This window comes from Homo sapiens, chromosome 15 (assembly GCF_000001405.40).
Source record: "Homo sapiens chromosome 15, GRCh38.p14 Primary Assembly".
In the NCBI taxonomy this organism is placed as follows: Eukaryota; Metazoa; Chordata; class Mammalia; order Primates; family Hominidae; genus Homo; species Homo sapiens.
The window spans coordinates 56428150-56445305 of NC_000015.10; the positions used below are offsets into that span (position 1 = coordinate 56428150).

General features: G+C 34.9%; 2 protein-coding genes across 34 annotated transcripts in view; one reads left to right on the top strand and one right to left on the bottom strand.

The window, feature by feature from the left end:
- The window catches only part of TEX9 (testis expressed 9), a 216038-nt gene that overhangs the window by 184177 nt on the left and 14705 nt on the right, over positions 1-17156 (top strand). For 23 of the 33 annotated variants that reach the window (NR_169563.1, NR_169562.1, NR_169561.1 and 20 more), the window contains one exon: positions 218-2005. Coding sequence is in view for 29 of the 33 variants with exons in the window: in NM_001385041.1 (NP_001371970.1) it covers positions 218-295 (78 nt within the window). In the remaining 4 variants the exon portion in view is untranslated. Of the gene's footprint in view, positions 1-217; positions 2006-5025; positions 7191-7631; positions 7799-17156 lie in introns of those variants that run through there. The other 10 variants (XM_047432466.1, NM_001286449.2, NM_198524.3 and 7 more) reach the window with 4 other exon arrangements.
- MNS1 (meiosis specific nuclear structural 1) overlaps positions 575-17156 on the bottom strand; it is a 36414-nt gene continuing 19832 nt past the window's right edge. The window contains exons 5-10 of the mRNA NM_018365.4: positions 16295-16524; positions 15489-15705; positions 15281-15388; positions 5989-6246; positions 3224-3349; positions 575-1044 (exon numbers count right to left, since the gene is read on the bottom strand). Coding sequence (NP_060835.1) covers positions 952-1044; positions 3224-3349; positions 5989-6246; positions 15281-15388; positions 15489-15705; positions 16295-16524 — 1032 coding nt within the window. The 3' untranslated portion in view covers positions 575-951. The remainder of the gene's footprint in view (positions 1045-3223; positions 3350-5988; positions 6247-15280; positions 15389-15488; positions 15706-16294; positions 16525-17156) is intronic.

Genomic DNA, 17156 nt, shown 5'->3' on the forward strand with positions numbered 1-17156 from the left:
ATTATAGAATTATTATTATCTTAAAAGTAAGTTGGTTCAGTACTACTGTTGGACAATACCATTTCAAATATCATGCTTATTGGAATTAAGAGTATACATTCCTACAACAGAACTTATATTCTGACAATATATTATCCACACATTTTTACAAACTTCCTGTTGTTTGGTGGCCTACTCTTAATACTAAATCAGACAATATTGATTTTTTTTTTAACAGATGCATATTGAAGCTGCCAAGATGCTATCTTTCACTGAGGAGGAATTTATGAAAGCACTTGAATGGGGAAATTCATAAGTGATCTACTTCAGTTAGTCTCTATGACAGTATGTGATGGATACCCATTTTACTTATTGTAGTGGTTTGAATTATTTTTATTCTTCATAAGTAATATATTTGATTATGAAAGCAAAATAATTTCAAAGAATTCCCTTTTTAGATTTAGGAGATTAGCTATTAGCTCTTTTTGAGTTGTTTTTTAAGTTCTTAGCGTGACAATTAAGCACATCAGATAATAAAATTCTTGACTCTTTTCATTTATAATTCTCCTCCCTTACAGTAGACCAAAAAAGATGCTTTAAAAGAAAATTCCAAATATTTATTTCCCTGGCTAAATCAAGTAAGTAAAGTTCGTAAACACAGACAGAAGGCAGTTCACTTTGGGGTAGAGTTCTGTATTAGTCAAGGTAAATATACTGTCTTGAGGATGGGGATGCAAACAGTGCTCTGTAGTGTTGTAGAAATCGGATTTTGAAATTATCAGTACAAAAATAACAGCTTGATTAAAATTAATTTGTATCTGATAATTGTTTACAAGTTATGAAATTCAGTGATGATTTACAAAATCCAAACAGACAATGGATACCTAATGCCACTGAACTGTAAAACAAAAGTTATGCTGACATCTAGTGGTAACATGCAAAAAATCTATGCTTTACCCAATTTTGATGATATCATTTCTCTTCACAAATTTCACTCCTTTGTTGATATACTTTCCTGAACTCTTCACCAAGCAGATCAATATCATCCTCTTTTTTAAATACTCCCTACGAGAAAAATACTTTGTGGGTTACTTTTGAATACCAGAATATTTCACTAAATGCTTTTAAGACTGACAGACATAAGATTAGTAAAGTTATCTCCAAGGTAATGAAATCTATTCAACAGATTAATGAAACTTTAAAAAAATCAATACTTTTCAAAAAATAAGACTTTACATATATATTGAATATTCCTAGACTGACCCAATTTTCTGATTTATCAGCTCTAGTGTAGGAGCTTTTCATAGGAATCTGAGCTCTTCTACAAGTTCTACTGCTTGGATTACCTAGATAGGAAGGCACTTCATCTATACTGTACCCTACCCTTTTCTTTAAATAGCTCTATAATATGATATAATGGTGAGCTTCAGTAGATTCATGCATGGGATTAGTTCTTCATGCCTCAGTTCTATGGCTAATCAGCAAACAGTCAATCTTGCAGAAAAGAATCCAGGTTTGGAGTTAAGCCATTTAAGCAAACCCTTTGGAATTCTTCACTGTTCTATTTTTCTTTTCCCCTACAGTATACTGCAAAAGGCTCTTTAAAACAAAATTAAATATTTACTTAAATTGCAATCTAAAGAATAAAGAATTTTAGGGATAACTGAAGTCATTTGGCACCATTAGGACCTAAAGGATAAAGGTCATTTTTGGATATCAAGTTTATTAATCCCTCCTGCTGCCTCCACAATTATTTCCTCTACAAAAATATCAAATCCCAAAGAAAGACATTCCTACAATTTATAATTTAGTTTATGAAATGTATTAATTACATATGGATTTTATCATTAATACATCATTTTGTATTCCTTAATCCTTTCTAACCAATTAGACTATCAAGTCCTGTGGCCAGGCAGTAATTACCTATATATCTTTTTCCTTCCTTAGCACCAGAGTGAATATAATAAAATAAATATGCACTTGATTCTACTGAATAAAATATGAAATGGCATTTCTATAGCTGAAAGATGGCGATCTTATTTATATGAGTCTAGATGTTTATGTGGCCTATGAAACTGTTATTACTTTTTTAAGACAAGACGGGGTCTCACTCTGTTGCCCAGGCTGGAGTGCAGTGGCAAGATCATGGGTCACTGCAGCTTCAACTTTCCAGGCTCAAGCAATCTTCCAACCTCAGCCTCCAGAGTATCTGGGACTACAGGCGTGCATCACCACATCCAGTTAACTTTTTATTTTTTGTAGCAATGGCATCTCCCCATGTTTCCCAGGCTGGTCTTGAACTCCTGGGCTCAGGTGATCCTCCTGCCTCAGCCTCCCAAAGTGCTGGGATTATAGGCATGAGTTGCCATGCCCAGCCAGTTACTATTTTATTTGAAGTCACAGTGTGTCTCAGGTATACATTAAAATTCACTATCTTCTGGAATTTTAAAAATCAAGTTTAACTAGTTATAACTTCCTACTGTAGAGCAGATCTGTCTCAAGCTCAGTTCAACCATGTGCCTATTACTGGTGTTACCAGTGACAATGTTTTCATACACATTCTCATCTTTGGCATGTAAGTACTACAGTTCTAGGGTAGTCTCAAGCTCAGTTCAACCATGTGCCTATTACTGGTGTTACCAGTGACAATGTTTTCATACACATTCTCATCTTTGGCATGTAAGTACTACAGTTGTTCTAGGGTAGCTTTAGATTTCCTACACTAAAAGGGGAGAAAAGAAACTCTAAAATACAAACTCAGGCCAGGTGTGGTGGCCCACCCAGCACTTGGGGAGGCTGAGGCAGATGGATCACCTGAGGCCAAGAGTTCAAGACCAGCCTGGCCAACATAGCAAAATCCTGTCCTTACCAAAAATACAAAAATTAGCTGGGTGTGGTGGCAAACGCCTGTAATCCCAGCTACTCAGGAGGCTGAAGCAGGAGAATCACCGGGAGGCAGAGGTTGCAGTAAGCTGACATCTTGCCACTGCACTCCAGCCTGGGCGATAAATAAGGTACAAATTCAGTAAATCAAGCTCATACATCTAATAATGTGCTAAGACCAATCATTTTAGATATACTGAAATGGGCCCAGAGAGGTTCAGTGCCTGGACAGGAGGATCCCATTGCTGCTTCATAACCGAGCAAGAAGTGAGCAAAACCAAGGCACTCTAAAATCCAAATACCATGTTTTTTTCACTATTACAGGTCATGAAGATTACAACTTGAGATAAATCTCACTTACTTTAGGGAGATAGCCTAGTAAGTTTGTAGCATGCTCTTTAAGAAGTTTTAGCCTTTCTTCTTCAATAATTGCATTAATAAATCCTTGCCGCCTTTGCTGCAACTGCCACTCTTCTAGTTCACGTTGCTGGAAATGCAGATCAAATTTTGTTATCACAAAGTACATTAATCTTATACGAAGTTTTCAAATAAAACTACTCATGCAATGAATTAGATAAAATTGATGAACTATTTATGACACTAAGTTCAAAAGATTCTAGATAATATATATTTTTAAAATATATATTTTATGTCTGTACACATATCTATGTATTTTTTACTGTCATTATTCCTTTAAAATTACAAGGAGGCAAACAAATATTTTCAGGAAAGTGTCTTCATTACCAAGGGAAAAAATATTCAAAGGAGTGACTGCCTAATACAGTAAATATTTACTGAATGCTTACCATATACCAGATGCTGAAGAGTTTACAGTGTAAAACAAAAAATAGTGAATAAAGAAGATCAGAAATATCTAAAGGATATTTTCATATATATATATATAAAGATGATATGAAGCATGAGAATTCCACTAGTATTTCTTAGGAAAGTGCTCACTCTTAAATAATCACATCAAAATTCTGGGCCATATAGAAAAGATGACTTGAACTACGTGAAAGAACAGTAATCTACTAAGCCACTGTTAATTTGAGACTGTACTTGCATTCAAACCTAATTCTATCTTAATTCATCCATTCCTTATAAAGAGGAGATACAGGAAAGTTCTGTAATGTTACAGGGGAAAGCAAACTTGATACATTTTTGTCCAATGGTAGAGTCTACTTTGGGCTAATGCAGATTTTCCTAAGAAGGATCTGGCAGGCCACATTCAATGTTTATCCTAAAAAGAAAAATTTATAGTAAATTAAATTGTTTAGGCAGTTACGAAATCAACTTATCCATTTAGGACAAATTCTGAATAGCTTTGGTGTAGGAAACTACCTCCTGGGAAGTTTCAGATTTTGTCTGACCGTATGATTTTCGTAGAGGTAGACAGAATTACAGATACCTATTTAGGAATGTCTCTGAAATCCAAAAAACATGGTTAGACCTTATAGGATTGTATAATGAGTTTCATCACGAAGATCTGTCCTTGACTTGGGGCCAGAACAAAAATGTTGCCCAATCAAACGGACAAAACTAAGCCGACAGCTTCATATTGGGAACATTTATAAGTCTTTAAAAATTAAGACAAAAATTATTTGTATAAGTATCTATGCATTAGGTGGCTTTATCTGATTTCCATTTAGTTTTTAGTCTGATTTCTAGTTAGTTGTCTTGCTAACTTTTCCAGGAGCTTTCTCCTATCCAAGTACTAACCAGGCCTGATCCTGCTTAGCTTCTGAGAACAGATGAGCTCCAATCTGAAATATAACAGCACTTGTATTCCCATGAGTTTCTCATATTTGAAACATCTGCATTATTTTGACTCCTACTTTGTATAGTTTTAAAAGAAGTCATGTAAGTCTCACTTAGTCTTCCTCTAAATTCTTCTCTTCCTACCGATTTTCAAAACACCTACATATTATCCATTTGGTTCTTAAACCACAAAATCTAGTGAGACAATATAAGTATTTAGTTTTACGGATGAGACATAAATAAGTCAATGTATCCAAAGCCAAAAACTTCATTCCCTCTCCAACACTTAAATCTACATTTCCAACTAGTAATCTTCCCCTGGGCCACCAAATCATTTTGGGTGGACAAAATAGAATTATTTGCACCCTCAAAATCTATTTCTTTTCCTCTATACTCTTTCCTTAGGATGTCACCCAGTCACCCATTAAAGATGGAAGTGACACATGGACACAGGGAGAGGAACATCATCACACACCAGGGCCTGTCGGGGGGTGGGGGGGACAAGGGGAAGGGAGAGCATTAGGACAAATACCTAATGCATGCAGGGCTTAAAACCTAGATGACGGGTTGATAGGTGCAGCAAACCACCATGGCACATGTATACCTGTGTAACAAACCTGCATGTTCTGCACATGCATCCTGGAACTTAAAAATATTAAAAAAATAATTAAAAAGATGGAATGACAGTATTATTTATTAGGGGTAGCCTTAAGTCTTCTCTCACCCTAGATCTCACTGGTCACCAAGCCCCATCAATTCCGTATCCTTAACATCTCTCGGGTGGATCCCTTATCTATTTGCATGGGTTTCACCACTTGTCACTGGGATTATTATAATAACTTACTTACTGATCTCCCTATCTCCGAGCTTACTCATCTCTTATCTACCTTCAATGCTCTCACTTGAATCGTCTTTCAAAGTACAGATCTTAATATACAGCTTTTCAATCTTCAGTGGCTTCCCTTAGAAAAGCCCACCTTCTTAAAATAGCATGCAGGGTGTTCATGATCTGTTTCTCTCTCTGCCATACCAAAACATCCATAGCTCTATAACCTATTATCACATGTACATGACATATTTATAATTACTTTTTATATATTTTTCTTAACCAAGACCATAAATTCATAAGTGACATGGACTTAGTTTTATTTACCTTTTATGTTCTCAATACCAACCAGTGTTTAGCACATAGAAAGCATCAATAAATATTTTCTAGAAGCAAAAATGGTCAGAAAATTTATATATATATTAGTAAACATACTAACATTGTCTGGCATATAAAGCTTCTCAGTAAATGTTTAGTGGATGATAGATGAGCTATTGCTGTTTAATGATAATGACCAAAAAAACCCCACAACTTTTTCTTACTTTGTCTGCAAGGAATTGTTGGCGACGCTCTTCAATAAGTTTTTCCACAGCCCTCCTGTGTTCCAGCTGCTTCATTCTTTGTTTCTGAGCATTCATTAATTCTATTCGATCATCCTCAGCAAATTTAGCTAGCATAGTTTTTCTAAAGTTCTCCTCTTCCTCTTTTGCAGCCTGTAGCACTAATTCCTTCAAGGCCATTTGTTCTTCAAAATCTTGCTTCATCTCTTTTTGCTTTCTCAATTTCTTTTCTGCTTCTTCCTAAACAATACAGCTGAAAGTTAATTTAGTAACTATTTCCTTACACCAGATTTATAAGGAAAGAGTGATAGAGTTTGGTTAAATTTAGTATTACAATATGAAATCATACAAACTGAAAAAGTAAGGCTTTTCATGATAACTTTGTCCATCCCTTTAAAACTAGCTGGATAAAGAATATGCTTACATTTGGATTGTTTTCTGTTACTCATGAACAAATTTTAATTTATATTTACCATCTTGTTTCTCTACTCAGAATTAACACGTAACTGCTTTGGAAAGAGCTGTTACAAAAGCCTTTTTTGCACACCTGAGTTTATTCATCTAAAGTCTATGGTAACTATGAATCATTCTAGAATCTTGCTTACAAAAGCTGTCCAAACCACCCATAAGTATTTTTCAGTTTCCAACCTCCTCCTCAAAATCAAAGCTGCACTTACCCATCTCTAGTCTTCTAATATTCCCTTCATTCTCCAAAATTCTCTAAAATTTAAAAACAATTATCTAGCAATGACAATCAGTACTTCTTTAGGGAAATTCAAATATAGTTGGAACAGTTAAGTCCTTTCCTATAAGCTTTTATTTTCTGAACATTTTATTATGAAAAATTTCATACATACTAAAAAATATAATTTTACAATGGTCACTCACTTCTAAATAATTCATGGGCCAAAGAGGGAATGCCAAGGAAAATAAATACATTGTAGTTAATAAAAGTGAGACAGCAAAATTTGTGAGATGCTGCTAAAGCAGTTCTGAGAAACATTTATAGCACTAAATGGATACATTTAGGAAAATGTATATATATAGCACTAAATGCATGTATGTAGGAAAAGTCTCAAATCGATAATCTAAGCCCCCACTTCAAGAACCTATAAAAAGAACTGTAAAGTAAACCCAAAATATGCAGAAGGAAAAACATAATAAAACTGTAGAAATCAATGGAATTAAAAATAGAAAATAGACAATTATTGGTGAAACAAAAGGCTGGTTCTTAAAAATTATCAGTGAAATGGACAGACCTTTAACAAGGCTGACCTAGAAAAAAAAAATGAATGAATAAACAAATAACTAATATCAGGAATAAAACATAGGATATCACTAGAGACCCTACAGACATCAAAAGGATAATACAGGAATACTACAAATTATTATACACACATAAATTTGGCAACTTAGATGAAATGGATCACTTCCTTGAGAAACACAAGCTACCAAAACTCACCAAATATGAAATAAGGTAATCTGAATAGTCCTATCACTATTAAGGAGACGGAATTAATAACTTAAAATTCCTCCAAAATAAAACCCCAAGTCAGGATGGTTTCACTAGAAAATTCTATCAAATATTTAAAAAATTAACACGAATTCTACACAATCTCTTCCAGAAAACAGAAGAGGAGGAAACATATCCCCATTCATTTTATGAAGATAGTATTACCCCGCTACCAATATAAAAAATTACAGACCAATATTCCTCGTGAATATGGATGCACAAATCCTTAACCCAATATTAGAAAAATAGATCATACATTAAAAGAATTATTCACCATGACCAAGTAGTGTTTATTACAGGGATGCAAGACTGGTTCAATACTCAAAAATCAATGTAATATACTTGGCTAAAGAAGAAAAAGTCATAATCATATCAGTAGAAAAAAGTGTTTAACCAAGGATATCCAGGAATTGAACTCAGTTCTGCACCAAGCAGACCTAATAGACATCTACAGAACTCTCCAGCCCAAATCAACAGAATATACATTCTTCTCAGCACCACACCGCACTTATTCCAAAGTTGACCACATAGTTGGAAGTAAAGCACTCCTCAGCAAATGTAAAAGAACAGAAATTATAACAAACTGTCTCTCAGACCACAGTGCAATCAAACTAGAACTCAGGATTAAGAAACTCACTCAAAACCGCTCAGCTACATGGAAAGTGAACAACCTGCTCCTGAATGACTACTGGATGCATAACGAAATGAAGGCAGAAATAAAGATGTTCTTTGAAACCAATGAGAACAAAGACACAACATACCAGAATCTCTGGGACACATTTAAAGCAGTGTGTAGAGGGAAATTTATAGCACTAAATGCCCACAAGAAAAATCAGGAAAGATCTAAAATTGACACCCTAACATCACAATTAAAAGAACTAGAGAACCAAGAGCAAACACATTCAAAAGCTAGCAGAAGGCAAGAAATAACTAAGATCAGAGCAGAACTGAAGGAGATAGAGACACAAAAAACCCTTCAAAAAATCAGTGAATCCAGGAGCTGGTTTTCTGAGAAGATCAACAAAATTGATAGACCGCTAGCAAGACTCATAACAAAGAAAAGAGAGAAGAATCAAATAGACGCAATAAAAAATGATAAAGGGGATATCACCACAGATCCAACGGAAATACTACCATCAGAGAATACTATAAACACCTCTACGCAAATAAACTAGAAAATCTAGAAGAAATGGATAAATTCCTGGACACATACACCCTCCCAAGACTAAGCTGGGAAGAAGTTGAATCCCTGAATAGACCAATAACAGGCTCTGAAATTGAGGCAATAATTAATAGCCTACCAACCAAAAAAAGTCCAGGACCAGATGGATTCACAGCCGAATTCTACCAGAGGTACAAGGAGGAGCTGGTATCATTCCTTCTGAAACTATTCCAATCAATAGAAAAAGAGGGAATCCTCCCTAACTCATTTTATGAGGCCAGCAGCATCCTGATACTTTGGTCGTCTGTCATCCTGACAGAGACACCACAAAAAAAAGAGAATTTAAGACCAATATCCCTGATGAACATTGATGCAAAACTCCGCAATAAAATACTGGCAAACCAAATCCAGCAGCACATCAAAAAGCTTATCCACCATGATCAAGTGGGCTTCATCCCTGGAAGGCAAGGCTATTTCAACATACACAAATCAATAAATGTAATCCAGCATATAAACAGAACCAATGACAAAAAACACATGATTATCTCAATAGATGCAAAAAAGGCCCTTGACAAAATTCAACAGCCCTTCTTGCTAAAAACTCTCAATAAATTAGGTGTTGATGGGACATATCTCAAAATAATAAGAGCTATTTATGACAAACCCACAGCCAATATCATACTGAATGGGCAAAAACTGGAAGCATTCCCTTTGAAAACTGGCACAAGACAGGGATGCCCTCTCTCACCACTCCTATTCAACATAGTGTTGGAAGTTCTGGCCAGGGCAGTCAGGCAGGAGAAAGAAAGAAAGGGTATTCAATTAGGAAAAGAGGAAGTCAAATTGTCCTTGTTTGCAGATGACATGATTGTATATTTAGAAAACCCCATTGTCTCAGCCCCAAATCTCCTTAAGCTGATAAGCAACTTCAGCAAAGTCTCAGGATACAAAATCAATGTACAAAAATCACAAGCATTCTTATACACCAATAACAGACAGACAGAGAGCCAAATCATGAGTGAACTCGATTCACAATTGCTTCAAAGAGAATAAAATACCTAGGAATCCAACTTACAAGGGATGTGAAGGACCTCTTCAAGGAGAACTGCAAACCACTGCTCAACGAAATAAAAGACGACACAAACAAATGGAAGAACATTCCATGCTCATGGATAGGAAGAATCAATATCGTGAAAATGGCCATACTGCCCAAGGTAATTTACAGATTCAATGCCATCCACATCAAGCTACCAATGACTTTCTTCACAGAATTGGAAAAAACTACTTTAAAATTCATATGGAACCAAAAAAGGGGCCACATTGCCAAGACAATCCTAAGCCAAAAGAACAAAGCTGGAGGCATCATGCTACCTGAATTCAAACTATACTACAAGGCTACAGTAACCAAAACAGCATGGTACTGCTACCAAAACAGAGATATAGACCAATGGAACAGAACAGAGCCCTCAGAAATAGTACCACACATCTACAACCATCTGCTCTTTTTTTTTGTTACAAAAAAGACAGGTTTGTTACAAACCTGACAAAAACAAGCAATAGGGAAAGGAGTCCCTGTTTAATAAATGGTGCTGGAAAAACTGGCTAGCCATAGGTAGAAAGCTGAAACTGGATCCCTTCCTTACACCTTATACAAAAATTAATTCAGGATGGATTAAAGACTTACATGTTAGACCTAAAACCATAAAAACCCTAGAAGAAAACCTAGGCAATACCATTCAGGACATAGGCATGGGCAAGGACTTCATGTCTAAAACACCAAAAGCAATGGCAACAAAAGCCAAAATTGACAAATGGGATCTAATTAAACTAAAGAGCTTCCGCACAGCAAAAGAAACTACCATCAGAGTGAACAGCCAACCTACAGAATGGGAGAAAATTTTTGCAATCTACCCATCTGACCAAGGGGTAATATCCAGAATCTAAAAAGAACTCAAATTTACAAGAAAAAATCAAACAACCCCATCAAAAAGTGGGCGAAGGATATGAATAGACACTTCTCAAAAGAAGACATTTATGCAGCCAACAGACAAGAACAGGAAAGGTGATGTCTACTCTCATCACTCTTCTTCAACATAGCACTAGCCAGTGGTGCTGGAAATTTTAGCCAGCATGTAAGGCAAGGAAAGGAAGTAAAAAGTATACAGATCAGAAAGGAAGAAACAGCCTGTAGCTCTGGGCAGAAGACATGCCTGACTATGTAGGGAAAAAAAATCCTACAGCTAACAAGTGAATTCAGCAAGGTTGTGAGATACAAGATAAACACAAAAATATCAATTCACTAGCAACGAGTACACGGACACCAAAATAAAAGCTAACATTCCATTTACGATTGCTCAAAAAATGAAACACTTAGATGTAACAAAACACGTACAGGATTTGTATGCTGAAACTAGAGAATCCTGATGAAAAAATTCAAAGATCTAAATAAAGGGAGAGCCAAATTGTGTTCATGAACTTAATATAGTGAATTTATCAATTCTCCCCAAACTGATATTCAAATTTAATTCAATACCTATCAAAATCCCAGCAAAAAATATTTATAGAGACAAGATTCTTCAAAAATTCATATGGAAAGGCAAAGGAACTAGAATAGCTAAAAAAAAAATTTTAAGACTTGCCATATAGCTGCAGTATTCAAAACTGTGTAGTATTGGTGGAGGGATGGATACATAGACCAACAGAACAAAATAGAGACCACAGGAATAGACCCATACAAACATGCCAACTGTGTTTTAAGAAAGGTGCAAAAGCAATTCAATGTTGGAGAAACAGCCATTTCAACAAATGGTGTGGAACAACTGAACTAAATCCAATGGCAAAAACTGTATTTAAGTCTCATCGTTTGTACCAAAAATTAACTCAAAACAGATCACAGATTGAAATGTAAAATGGAAAAGCATAAAAAAAAAAAACCCAAAAAAACAAAACACACACACACACACAAACCTTTAGGAAAAAAAAAAGGAGAAATTCTTCAATAACTAGGCGAAGAGTTTCTAGAGTTGACACAGAAAGCATGATCCATAAAAAGAAAAACTGATAAACTGAACTTCATAGAAATGGAGAACATTTGCTCTAAGAAAAATCGTGCTCTAAGATCATGTTAAAAGGATGAGAAGATAAAGCTACAGACTAGAAGAAACTATTTGCTAACCACCCACCTGACAAAGGACTAGTATCTAGAATATATGAAGAACTCTCAAAACCCAACAATAAATGAACAAACAACCCAATTAGAGAATCAGCAAAAGACATGAAGAACTATTTCATCAAAGAGGATCTTACACCAAAGAGGACAGCAAATAAGCACATGAAAAGATGTTCAGCATCATTAGTCATCAGGAAAATGCAAAATAAAACTACAAGGTATCACTACATGGATATTTAAAAGTGGCTAAAATAAAAAATTGTTGAGCTTCTGAGGACAGAGGAGAAAAAAATTAAAAAATAAACTGTGTTAACACCAAATGCTGGTGAGAATGCAGACAGACTGCGTAACTCATATATTTCTGATGGGAATGTTAAATGCTACAGCTGTTCTGGAAATCACTTTGGCAGTCTGTTACACAGCTAACATGCAGTTACCACAAAACCCAGCTAATACAATCTTGAGCATTTATTGCAGAGAAATGAAAATTGATGTTTATACAAAAACCTTTACCTGAATGTTTACATCAGATTTACTCATCAGAGCTAAATATTGGAAGCATTCCAAATGCCCTTTAATGGGCAAATGGTCAAATAAAATGGTATATACATGCCAATGGAATGTTACTCAGCAAAAAAAGGGAACAAATGATCAATACAAGCAACTTGGATGAATTTCCAGGAAATTATGCTGAATAAAAAAAAGCCAACTTGAAAAAGTTACATATTGTTTGATATCATTTATATAACATTCCTGAGGCACATACTTTTAAATTTATAATTAAAGGTTTATCCATGTTTTAGCATGATCAGTCTGTCATTCTTTTAATAGCTGAATAACATTTTATTACATGGATATACTATATTTTGTTTATCCATTAGACATTTGGGTTATTTCTACTTTTGGGTTATTTCTACTTTTAGACTATTGTGAATAATGCTGCATAAACATTTGTGTATGGGTTTGGGTAGACACAGGCTCATTAATTTTTAACCATTCTTTTTTCTAATATATGCATTTAAAGATATAAACTTTCCTCTAAGCACTGCATTAACTGCACGTCACATATTTTGGAATGCTGTTTTTTGAATCATTTAGTTTGAAATATTTTTCTAATTTCCAATATTATTTATTCCCCTTTTCTCATTGCTTATTTAGAAATATATTGTTTAATTATAATATATTTAAGGAGTCTGCAGGTATATTTTCATTACTGATTTTTAATTTAATTCCACTGTAGTCAGAAAACATATCTGGTATTATTTAAAACCTTGAAAATTTATTGAGACTTCCTTTATGTCCTAGAATATGATCTATCTCGGTGAAGGTTCCATGTTTGAATGGAATTTGTGTTCTGCTGTTGTTGGGTGGAGTATTCTCTAAATGTCAGGTCAAGTTTATTGATATTGCTTTCAATACGATATCCTGCGGTTCTGACTACCTAGTCTATAGATTAATGAGAACTGTGCATTGAAATACCATTCTGGACATAGGACCTGGCAAAGATTTCATGATGAAGACTCAAAAAGCAATTGTAACAAAAACAAAAATTGACAAGTGGGACCTAGTTAAACTAAAGAGTTTCTTCACAGGAAATGAAGTTATCAACAGAATAAACAGACAACCTACAGAATGGGAGAAAATATTTGCAAACTATGCATCTGACAAAGGTCTAATATCCATAATATCTAAGGAACGTAAACAAATTAACAACCCTATTTAAAAAATAGACTGGCCAGGCACGGTGGCTCACACCTCTAATCCCAGCACTTTGGGAGGCCAAGGCAGGTGGATCATGAGGTCAGGAGATCGAGACCATCCTGGCTAACACGGTGAAACCCCATCTCTACTAAAAATACAAAAGAAAAAAATTAGCCGGGCATGGTGGCGGGTGCCTGTAGTCCCAGCTACTTGGGAGGCTGAGGCAGGAGAATGGCGTGAACCCGGGAGGCATAGCTTGCAGTGAGCCGAGATCACGCCACTGCACTCCAACCTGGGCGACAGAGCGAGACTCCCATCTCAAAAAATAATAATAAAATAAAATAAATAAATAAAAAGAAAAAATAGGCTAAGTACATGAACAGATACCTCTCAAAAAATGATATATATGTAGCCAACAAGCACATGAAAAAGTGCTCAATATCACTAATCATTAGAGAAATGCAAACCAAAACCACAATGAGATACTATCTCACATCAGTCAGAATGGCTATTAAAGTCACAAAAGAATGGATGCTGACAAGGTTGTGGAGAAAAAGGAATGCTTATACACTGTTGGTGGGAATGTAAACTAGTTCAACCACTGTGAAAAGCACTGTGGCGACTCCCCAAAAAATGAAAACAGAATTACCATTTGATTGCTGGGTTTATACCCAATGGGATTGCTGGGTATATACCCAAAGGAATATAAATCATTTTACCATAATGACACATGCATGTGTGTATTTATAGCAGCACTATTCACAATGGCAAAGATATGGAATCCACCTAGATATCCATCAATGGTGGACTGGATAAATAAAATGTGGTACATGTACACCACGGAATACTACACAGCCATAAAAAAGAACAAAATCATATCCTTTGCGTCAACATGGATGGAGCTGGAGGCCATTAGCCTATGCTAATTAATGCAGGGATAGAAAACCAAATACTACATGTCTTCACATACAAGTAACAGCTAAATATTGAGTACACGTGGACACAAAGAAGGAAAACAGACACTGGGGCCTACTTGAGGGTAGACATAGGAGGAGGGTGAGGATCAATAAACTACCTATCGAGTACTATGCTCATTACTTGGGTGACAAAATAATGTTACACCAAATCCCCATGACCCACAAATTTACCCCTGTAACAAACCAGCACATGTACCTCCTGAACCTAAAGTAAAAGTTGGAAAGAGAAAAAGAAAAAAAAAAAAATCTTGAACTCTGATTGTGGATTTGCCTCTTTCTCCTTTCAGTTTTTGTCAGTTTTGCTTCATGTATTGTGAAGCTTTATTATTTAGGTTCACACGCCTTTAGGACTATGACATCTTCTAGATGAATTTACTGTATTATCATGAATTGCTTGTCCTGAAGTTGACTTTGTCTCATATTAACGTAGCAACTCCAACCTACTTTTGACTAGTGTCTGTATGTTACGTATCTTTCACCATCCTTTTGCTTTTAAAGTATGTATCTTCATTTTTAAATTGTGATTACAGACAACATAGTTGCATCATGCTTTTTATGGTAAGTTTATAAATTGATGCCTGAGTCTATCTTTTTAGCCAGCTTGAAAATTTCTGTCTTTTAACTGTAGTATACCATTTACATATAATGTAATTACCAGTATGGTTGGATTTAAATGTACTATCTCTTTTCTGCTTCATCTCAAAATTATATTCTTCTCTACATTAATCATTCTTTCCATTTCTGAAACTTACTTTTAGCTTGCTCTTATATATTTCAGCTTGTTCTTCCTGGTATAATTCTTGTCGCACTTGTTCCAAATCTTCACGTTGCCGCAGCATTTCTTCTAATTTCTGTGTCAACTATTAAATTTTTTAAAAAACATAAATATTTATAGGATCCAAATTCTGTAACTAATATTTCAGAATTTTACTAGTGTTAAAGAAGTGGTTATTTTAATACCGCATTCTGAAGCTGTAGCCTTTTCTCCTCATTTTCTTGAACTTTTGCCATCCGATCTTCTTCTCTTTGCTGCTGCATGTTAGCAAACTCTATGATTTTTCTGTTTTCTTCTTCCATCTCCTCACGTTTCTTTTTTCTCCAGAGAGCCTGCTCTTTCTGAAACTCTTCTATATACCTTCGCATTGCATTCATTTTTTCTAACTTTTGTTGTTTTTCCCTGAAAAGCAATAACAAGTACAGATTTATAGTAAACAATAAAATATAAAAAAGTAATTTCATTTTGTTCATAATAATGTACAGAAAAACACTATAGTTTTTTCATTCGTGCATGCAACAAACATTTTGAATGCTTACTGTGTGCTAAATATAATGTCAGGTATGAATTTTTCTTTGGGTAGAATACTGTGATAGTCTCCTCTAACCTATTAATGAAGTTTTATGCATCTTATTTCATAAAGGCTACAATCTGTTAACATTAGCTTTGCAGCACTCTATACTTAAGCTGTCTACCAAAAAAATTTATCAGAATACCTGTCCTCTGACATATGATATGGGCATATATAAGAAAAACAAAGGTTTAGGTCATTCAATCACTTCAGCATTTATTAATCATCAGATAATTCATTTATTAATTATGCTAACGGAGATGAGAAGGAGTTGGTCCCAATTTATGTTTTCATAGCTAGTATTTATTGAGCACTTACTATGTATTAGGCACTGTTCTAGGTGCTTCAGTTCCTCACAACAAACCTGTGATATATCTAAAGTAAACATTTAGACATGTAAGAAAGTTAGGATAAACTTACAACTGATCTTCTTCATAGATCTTCCTAACAATTTCATCAATCATGAGTTTCTCTTTTAGCAGCTGCTCATAAGCTTCCTGCTTTTTTTTTTCTTGTTCTTCAAGTTGTTTCTCTAAGTCAAGATAGTACTGTGCTTTCGCTTTGTTTCGTTTGTCTTCTGCAGCATTCTCTTCCTTTATTATTCTCTTGTGTTCTTCCATCATGGTTTTGGCTATTTCAGCATCACGTTTCTGTTATTAAAACAAAATTGATCTTTCCGTTTTCAAATTTGAACATAGTACGATAGTATATTTTACACCAATGTTATTGAATATTATAAAGTCTTTTACATAAAATAAATTTTTTCATCTGTCTAGGTTAAAAAGCAAAAGTAAGTTATTATTACCTGAAGGGTGTGAACAATAAGTCAGACCCTAAAGCAGCTTTCCTATCCCTTCAAGTAGCTCTCTCAGGACAATACCTGATAAGGATTATTAATAACTCCACATTCAAAAAACAATGAATACAATTGTAAGTAGTTTCTTAATAACTATTTAGCTGCTAAAGCAGTCATTATCTTATTATTCTATTTATAAACTGAGCTAGGCAATTTTCATCGTTTTTAGCTTCATTGTTTATCAGCTGCTATTTAAAGATGGTACTGCCTCTTTCTTACAGGTCTGCTATTAAATGGCTTTGAGCAGCTCTTAAGTTTCTCCTAGCCTAAACTTTCTTTCCTGCCATTGGCCCTTGACGTTTCCCCTTTCTGATTTATTAAAGGCCCTTTATCTGAAAAGAATCACAGATGCTACTGTGCCTATTTTCTACAGCTTTTAATTCACTCAAGACCATTCCCATTGTCAAGAGACAATCTTTCTTCTTG